Here is a 9,384-nt window from a genome sequence, read left to right as displayed (position 1 = left end):
TTTTGGCGCCCCCTTAAGTTTGTCCCGTGAGGTGAGTGCCTCACTCATGCTGACCATAGCCCATGCAAAGGAGGCTGGGAAAGTGAGTTTCTGGGTATGAAATTGAATGGGGGATGTGGTACACAGAAAACAGCCCCCAAAGAGATGCATGTCCTGACCCCGGAAATTGGTAATATACTACCTTACATGGCAAAGAGGAGTTTGCAGATGTGACTGAGGAACTTGAGGTGGGAAAATTAGCTTGGATTATCCAGGTGTGCCTTGTCTAATCACAGGGGTTCCTTATGGGAGGAAGGCAGGTGGGGGAGAGGAGGAGAGGTGACAGAGAAGCAAAGGGCAGAGAGATCGGAAGACTCTATGCTACTAGCTTTGAAGATAAACACGGCCATGACCTAAGGAATACAGGCAGTTTCTAGAAGCTGAAAAAAGCAAAGAGACCAATTCTAGAGCCTCCAGAAAGAATGCAGCCTGCTGTCACCTTGACTTTATCCCAGAGAGACCTGTTCGGACTTCTGATCACCAAAACTCTAAGATACTAAGTTTGTGCTTTTTAAGCCACTAAGACTAAACATAGTTGTGGAATTCTCCAGATACCTTAAGAGTGTTCAAAATGTATCAGGCAGTCAGAAAGAATGACAATTGCACAACAACTGATGATTTTAAATGTTCTATTTATATTTTCATCCTTTCACTCAAACTACACTATGACATGCTTTTGTGGTTCTTATAATCAAGCTACAAACAAAACAGCATTTGTCAAGTGAAATGACACGTTCTCTGCTTAGCCTCTAACCATCAATTCACCAAGTGTGAATTAATTGCATCATTTTGTGAGCATATGTTCAATATTCTTACGTTATTTTCACTTGTTAGAGTACAGGAGTCTTCTATACTTTGCAAACAAACATTCAAGACCAAAACCCAGACCCCAAGACTTAGTTTCCACTCAACAACAACAACAGCTAAAAAATGGCAGAGTAGTTCCTCTCATGCCTCTTTATTAGAAAACAGCGACTTTATGTTTTTCTCTTTTTTTTTTTTTTGAGACAGAGTCTCGCCCTGTCACCTAGGCTGGAGTGCAGTGGTGCGATCTCAGCTCACTACAACCTCTGCTTCCCGAGTTCAAGCGATTCTCTTGCCTCAGCCTCCCAAGTAGCTGGGATTACAGGCCCCTGCCATCACGGCCTGGTAATTTTTGTATTTTTAGTAGAGACAGGGTTTCACCATGTTGCCCAGGCTGGTTACAAATTCCTGACCTCAAATGATCCACCTGCCTCAGCTTCCCAAAATGCTGGGATTACAGGCATAAGCCACTGTGCCTGGCCATGTTTTTCTTTAAAATGGTTCTAACAGCCGGGCATAGTGGCTCATGCCTGTAATCCCAGCAGTTTGGGAGGCCGAGGCGGGCCAATCACCTGAGGTCAGGAGTTCGAGACCAGCCTGACTAACATGGAGAAACCCCATCTCTACTAAAAATACAAAATTAGCCTGGCGTGGTGGCATATGCCTATAGTCCCAGCTACTCAGGAGGCTGAGGCAGGAGAATCACTTGAATCTGGGAGGCGGAGGTTGTGGTGAGCCAAGATGGCACCATTGCACTCCAGCCTGGGCAAAAAGAGTGAGATTCTGTCTCAAAAAAAAAAAAATGTTCTAACCTAATATCTAACCTAATAGAATGTGAGTCTCCTTCCTAGAATAAAAATAATAACGACATAGCCTACTTTATCTGTTTATTGAGTATTCACTTTTCCCTGAAAAGCTAAAACACTCTGACATAATCAGAAATAGGTTTTTTGTTTCTTGAGAGCTTGTTTGGAGGTTCTAGCAGGGGAGCGCAGCTACTCATATGCCCTTGACCAAAGACCAGTCCTCCTCTATCAGGGATGGTCATCCTCTTTGACTGAGCACGCAGCTTCGGGAGGGACGCAGGTGGAGTGGTAACAGAGGAAGGGGACACCCGCCTAGCCAGCCAGATCAGCAGAATCAACTCTAGCGATCGATGGGGTGACAGATGTCACAGCCAGATCGCCCTCACACCCAGTTTTTTGTTTCTTAGAAAAATTTTAGTAGATAATTTTCATAGATAAAAGATGGTCTCTAACGTAAGTACAAATCATATTCCAAAACTGCACTTGTTGGTCAGTCATACGGAACTCAAAAATCTTTTTAATCATGGTAATATTATGATTGTTCACACGTGGTGATCACTGTAATTGTATCGTGATAACATAGAGGAAGTGTTGTCTTTGTAGAAGTTGGTGCATGAATTCCATCTCAATGAGGGATCAGGTTTGTCTAGAAGATAATTTCAAGAGCCCATAGCAGGGTGTCCCCCAAAGGAGGCAGCAATTTGCAATGAAAAAGAAAGCTGAGAGAAGTGAAGTTGGTTTCAGGACTGGGTGAGGAAAAGAGCCTCTGGATGGCCAGTGAGAGTGAACTCAGGAAAAAACAGACACCTTCTGAAGTCAACATTTTCAATAAGTTTAATAGTGCTCACTAATGCCTTTGGTGTGAGTGGGTTTTTTTGTAGTGTGTCAGGAGAATAAGAACAAAGGGGGTAGGCATAAAGCCTGGCAAAGACAAAAACAGATTATATGTAGAAATCACCACATGTATTAGTTCATTCTCACATTGCTATAAAGAAACACCTGAGACTAGGTAATTTATAAAGAAAAGAGCCGGGCACAGTGGCTCACGCCTGTAATCCCAGCACTTTGGGAGGCCAAGGCAAGTGGATCACAAGGTCAGGAGTTTGCGACCAGCCTGGCCAACATGGTGAAACCCTGTCCCTACTAAAAATACAAAAAATTAACTGGGCGTGACCTGTAATCCCAGCTACTTGGGAGGCTGAGGCAGGAGAATTGCTTAAACCCAGGTGGTGGAGGTTGCAGTGAGCCAAGGTTGTGCCACTGCACTCCAGCCAGGGTGACAGAGCAAGACTACATCTCAAAAATAAAGTAAAATAAATAAATAAAAGAGGTTTAATTGAATCATGGCTCTGCAGGCTGTACAAGAAGCATGATGCATCTGCTTAGCTTCTGGGGTGGCCTCAGGAAATTTACAATCATGGCGGAAGGCGAAGGAGGAGCCAGCACTTCACATGGCCAGAGCAGGAGGAAGAGATAGAGGGGGGAGGTACCACACACTTATAAACAGCCACATCACACAAGAAGTCACTTACTATTGCAAGGACAGCACCAAGGTTGATGCTAAACCATTGATGAGAAACCACTCCCATAATTCAATCATCTCCCACAAGGCCCCACTTCCAATATTGAGGATTACACCTCAACATGAGATTTGTAACACACACCCAAACTATATCACCATAGTTGGGTTACATTCTATTATAATCATATTTAGTAAAAACAAATGAGAGCTTCCGTTTGTGGCTCCAAGTCTCAGGAGAAATCTGCTACTCATCCTTGAGACCTGAGCTGTTAGTCGTGCAGTGAGATGGTTAATCTCCAACTATTCCTTTGTTTGTGGAATCTCAGATAAAGAACCCCCCCACCTCCAGAAAACAACGAAAAAGAATACAACCCTAAGGCAGAGTCGCTTTACTAGAAAAGACTCTTGAAGACAGACACACATGCATGCCCACACACAGACACATACATAGCACCTTTTCAGGATATCACTCTGAACTGTTTGTCTGGACAATTCCAGACAATGTAATGCAAAATGGTGGCCCCTAGAAGTGTGCAAAGAGGTGGCTGTGAAGTGAAGAAAAAATCATTTTCCCTGGGGAAACTGTGAGTCATCATGAATGTGAAAGTAAACAAAACTTGAGAACTGCTACGTCCTCAGTCTTCAGGCAAGAAAACACCACAAGGCTGCAAGGCTTTCTGAGAGCTGGGCCACATCTAAGCCATATGTGTGCTCACGGCTCCCACACTGTGTGTGGCACATCCCATCAACAAATCTTGTTAATTTTACCTTCAAACCTTATCCCCAATGCATCTGCTTCTCTCCTTTTCTATTACTACCAACAAATCCAAGTCACCATCATCTTACACCTAGACCATGACTTCCGAAACCATTTGATCACACATACATCAATAAAACATATATAATGTGTGTGTGTGTAAATTTATGTACATATTTTTTTCTTTTGGGAGAGAGAGAGAGAGAGGATCTCACTCTGTCACCCAGACTAGAGTGCAGTGGTACAATCCCTGCAGCCCCAACCTCCTGGGTTCAAGCGATCCTCCCACCTCAGCCTCCAGAGTAGCTGAGACCACAGGCATGAGCCACCACACCCTCATTATTATTATTATTATTATTATTATTATTATTTTGTACAAATGAGATCTCACTATGTTGCCTAGGCTGATCTTGAACCCCTGGGCTCAAGCTATCCTCCCACCTTGGCCTCCCAAAGCATGGGGATTATAGGTGTGAGCTGCCACACCCCACCAATAAATTATTTTTGAGCACATACAATTCACCATTAGATATTCGGATTTATTTATGAATAATAGATACACTATAGTATCCACATATTATGTACATTGTAAAATGTAAATAGAATGTTTTAAAGAAAAGGTTTGAATATATATCACTATGGTCTGAAAGTTTGTGTCCCCACAACAATTAAAATTTCTGTTGAAGCCTAACCCCCAATGTGATGATACTTCTTTTTCTTTTTCTTTTTTTTTTTTTTTGAGACAGAGTCTCTCTCTGTCGCCAGGCTGGAGCGCAGTGGCACGATCCCGGCTCACTGCAACCTCCGCCTCCCCGGTTCAAGTGATTCTCCTGCCTCAGCCTCCCAAGCAGCTAGGTTTACAGGCATGTGCCACCACGCCCAGCTAATTTTTTTTGTATTTTTAGTAGAGACAGGGTTCACCATGTTGACCAGGATGATCTCGATCTCCTGACCTTGTGATTCACTGGCCTCGGCCTCCCAAAGTGCCGGGATTACAGGCATGAGCCACCGTGCCCGGCATGATGATACTTCTTAAGAGGTGGGACTTTGGGGAGCTGATTATAGGTTATAAGGGTGTAGCAGTCATGAATGCGATTAGTGCCCTGATACAAGAAACCCCAGAGAGCTGCCTCACCTCTTCCATCGGGTGAGGACACAGCAAGGAGACCCATCTAGAAATCAGGAAACAAGTCCTCAGCAGACACACAACCTGCCAGCACCTTGATCTTGGACTCCAGCCTCCAGAACTGTGGGAAATAAATGTCTGATGTTTACAAGCTACTCAGTTTATGGCATTTGGTTATCACAGCCCAAATGGACTAAGACGTGTCTGTGTGTGTCTTTGCGTGTCTGTGTATAAATGTATATACACACACAAGTGTGTATTTTCTTCCTCCATACTGTGAGATTTTTCCACAAACTCTCTATACTACGTATATCCTGGCCCTAGCCTACTATTTAATATAATTCCCTCTTAATTGATCTCCCTATCTCCACTCTTATTTCCTTTTTTTTTTTTTTTTTTTGGGGAGACAGAGTCTTGCTCTGTTGCCCAGGCTGCAACATCCGCCTCCCAGGTTCAAACAATTCTCTGGCCTCAGCCTTCCTAGTAGCTTGGATTATGGGTGTGCACCACCACACCCAGCTAATTTTTGCATTTTAGTAGAGATGGGGTTTCACCATGTTGGCCAGTGTGGTCTCAAACTCCTAACCTCAGGTGACCTGCCTGCCTCGGCCTCCCAAAGTGGTGGGATTACAGGCGTGAGCCACCACACCCAGCCCACTCTTATTTCCTATAATCAATTTTCCACAAAGAAAATTTAAATTAGACCCTGCCATTTCTCTGCTTAAAACTCTCCAGTGGCTTTTCATCGCACTCAAATCTAAACTCCTTCCCCCAGCCTACAAACTCATCCATGGTCTAGGCCCTGCCCACTTCTCTGAGCCACTGTCTGAGCCCCTCCCTCCAAACTCTGTCACACAGAACCTTCTTTGTATTCTTCCAACATACTGACTTTATTCCCACCTTGGGGCCTTTGGACCAAGTCTTCTCTCTGCTCTGAATGCACTACCCTGGGTCTTCACAGGTCTAATTCCTTCTGGCCATGCAGACGTCATATCAATGGCTTCCCCTAAAGAGAGTATCTCTAGCCCTCTCAATTCAGGCAATGACCCAGCCAGGCTCTTAACTGTATCTGCTGTTCATTTGTGTGTTCATGTTCACATGTGTTTGTATATTTGGATATTGCCATATAAGAAGAGACAAAATCTACTGCATTAACTGTGATACTTAGCTTATAGTCGGCCCTAAATAAATATTTGCCAAATAAATGAATTAATCAAGTAATTCATTAATAGAACTTTGATAAACTATTTATTTGAAGTCAGTTGAATTAAGCATGGAACAGTTTTGTTAAGCCTATTTTTACTTAATTCCTTCTCCCAGGCAACCTCTGGGGGGAAAAAATAGGCGACTTTATAGAAATAGCCTGGCAAGGGCTCAGATTTCTTTGAAACACCTACAAGCAAGGGAGTTTGAGGCTAACAAGAGAATCACAGGTTTCCAAGAATAAATGTCCTTTTAAAAATAGGCAATCTGCCATGCTTTGTAACAGGGCTTCAAAACCCCATGACCAAGCCCTTTCTAGGAAACCTCAGTGATGTGCATCTCATTCAACAGGCTCTAATTGGCTATGTTCTTAAAGGGCCTTAAAATAAATAACATGCCTTATCTGATTTGAATTATAGCCAAACCTTGTCATTTGAAGGCGATAAGGCTCTAGTGAAAGATATCACATTGGGAAAGGAATGTTGAACTTTTCTCTGTTCCTGAACTTGAGAAGGAAAAAAGTTAACTTGTATGCTCCTATCTAATAGAATTAAGCTGTGAGAGAACTAACCTTATGGAATGCAAATATCCAGACACATTATTAAAATAAATAGTCAAAGTCATAAGTATTCTACAAGAGTCCAATGTCTGGCTCTCCATTGTTACTTTGCAGACAGAATTCCCATTCAAACGTATTAATTATATGTAGCATGAAGCAGAATGAGAATTTAATATCATAATCAGCTCTAGGTAAAATTGGGTATTAGGAATTTGATGTCCATGTCCCTAATCTTATTCACACACACACACACACACAGACACACACACACACACACATGCAGATGACCGTGCACATGACTCACCCAATTAAAAAAAAATCCAAGAAAGCACTTGATGTGATTTATTAACATTCTAATATAAACCAGTGTCTTAAATCTTTCAGAAATATTTCTATCTCTTTTTAACCTTAAAATAAAATATTTTGTCTCTGACTGAGGCATTTTGATATTGAGCATGGAGTTGAGAGCATTATTTTCCGGTGGGGGTCCGTGGGGCAGGGTCTCCTTCTGTTGCCCAGGCTGCAGTACAGTGGCACGAACATGACTCACTACCGAAGGGCATTATTTTAGAGTTAGAAACCTATGTCTTTCCTAAAATTACACCATTTGACTAGCTAGATACACACTTACTCTAATGTGTCACTTTGGAAAACAGGAATTCTGCCCTCATCATCCAGTTGGATGGAACCCTTAACAGACACATGGACTCGAAGACTTGAGAACTTCTACCTGCCTTCTGGAAGCACCAACACACCCACACCCTCATCCACCTTGTTTTGACTAACAGCTCAGGTAACACAGCTGAGTTCAGTATCAATTTCCTAATTATTCATCCTGACTGTACTTCAGTGAAAACAAAGACATTTCTACCCCACTTGCTTTCTCACATTTTCCTCTGAAAGAAAGCTCCTGTCAGAAACTATTATGACTTGTTAGAAATCCTGTGCATTTCAGTAAGCTCCATGCTACTCAGAACACAGCCTAGGAAGGGTTTCTTATGCAAAGAACTGGCATCCTAATGACGCAGCACAGAGACAGCCAGTAGACCCAACTAAATCAAGACAAGTGGAAAAGAACTGAAGTTCGAAATGGGAATGGAGGCTGGGCGTGGTGGCTCACATCTGTAATCCCAGCACTTTGGGAGGCCAAGGTGGGTGGATCACCTGAGTTTGGGAGTTCAAGACCAGCCTGGCCAACATGGTGTAACCCCGTCTACCAAAAATATAAAAAATTAGCCAGGTGTGGTGGCACGCACCTGTAATGCCAGCTACTCTGGAGGCTGAGGCAGGAGAATCATTTGAACCCAGGAGGCAGAGGTTGCAGTGAGCTGAGATCGCCCCACTGTACTCCAGCCTAGGTGAAAGAGCGAGACTCCATCTCAAAAAAAAAAAAAAGAAAGGAAGGAAGGAAGGAAGGAAGGAAGAAAGAAAGAAAGAAAGAAAGAAAGAAAGAAAGAAAGAAAGAAAGAAAGAAAAAGAAAGAAGGAAAGAAAGAAAATGGAATGGAAATGATACATAGCCTCACACAACCTGCAGGCTCACCCACACTCTGACTGCCTCCCCTGTTACACAGTGCAGTTGTGCAAGCAGGATCTTCCATTTAGGATTGTTTCAGACCTACAGATGAGTTTCTTAAGCTTCCTGCCCCCTGTCTCCAGATCACTGCCATCTCTTTAGTAAGAAACTGCGTTTTATTTTGGGTTTTGTAATTCCAGCACCTCCACAGTATCTGTCACAGGGTTGACACCTAATGAGCTTGGACAACGCCATGGAGACACACTGATGGGTCCAGGAATCAGGCTGGACCAATCAGAGCCCTCCCCTTAAACTTTAAAATTTGGAACTACACACAATCATTACCTTCCATACTGCACAGCTGTAAGACATAGACCAAGAGCTGCCAGAAGCCTCGTTGGCTGCCATGTGAAAGAAGCCAGTTGGAGTGCATGAGGCCAATCAATACAGAGAGAGCAACAGGAATGAAGATGGACGGAAAGAGTCCCGGTGGGATTTGTGCCTTGTGTCCAGCTGTGCCCACACCCCTGCCCTTCCCTGAGCCACGCAAGGCTTCCAGGAAATGACCCTCTTTGCCTAAGCTATGGTTGAGTTGAATTTGTATAGTTCCACGAGAAATGGTATTCTCCATACCCTAGTGTCTGTACTGTTTTCTCAAACACATCCTAAAGATCCTGAGGGGAAAAAGTTCTCCTATTGTTTCAGTGAACTCTATGGAACCCACTGTTGCATTTAGTGCACAAAAGGCACTCAGGCAATGCATTGTTGCTTTCTTGAAAATGTACTTAGTGTCTCTCCCATTTCATGTTCAAACAAGACGGATGAAAGAAGTATCTGGATGGATACGGAGCTGGTTTAGACACCCTAACTGGGGTGATGGTGCCTGTGCTGGCCAGCCCTCAAGGCAGTCCCCAAGGAACTCAGCCTCCTGATACTTTCAGAGTCCTTTTTATAGTCCCCTTCTACTCTGTACCAGGAGTGGACTTTGATACTTTGGTCTCTGTGACAAATAGTAAATGGCAGCAGTAATGTACTGCCACTTCTGATATTCGG

At 43.4% G+C, this 9,384-nt stretch overlaps 1 pseudogene, besides 1 other annotated feature; it reads right to left on the bottom strand.

The window, feature by feature from the left end:
• RN7SKP133 (RN7SK pseudogene 133) lies at nucleotides 1,800-2,039 on the bottom strand (annotated as a pseudogene).
• Nucleotides 3,601-3,895: an enhancer, noted in NCBI's record as "tiled region #14736; K562 Activating non-DNase unmatched - State 24:Quies". NCBI's record gives its function as "activates a minimal TATA promoter and a strong SV40 promoter by Sharpr-MPRA in K562 cells {active_cell/tissue: K562}" and the evidence as "EXISTENCE:reporter gene assay evidence [ECO:0000049][PMID:27701403]".

The sequence above is a fragment of the Homo sapiens genome, chromosome 5 (genome assembly GCF_000001405.40).
Source record: "Homo sapiens chromosome 5, GRCh38.p14 Primary Assembly".
Taxonomy (NCBI): Eukaryota; Metazoa; Chordata; class Mammalia; order Primates; family Hominidae; genus Homo; species Homo sapiens.
This window is presented reverse-complemented; position numbering and strand designations above follow the sequence as displayed.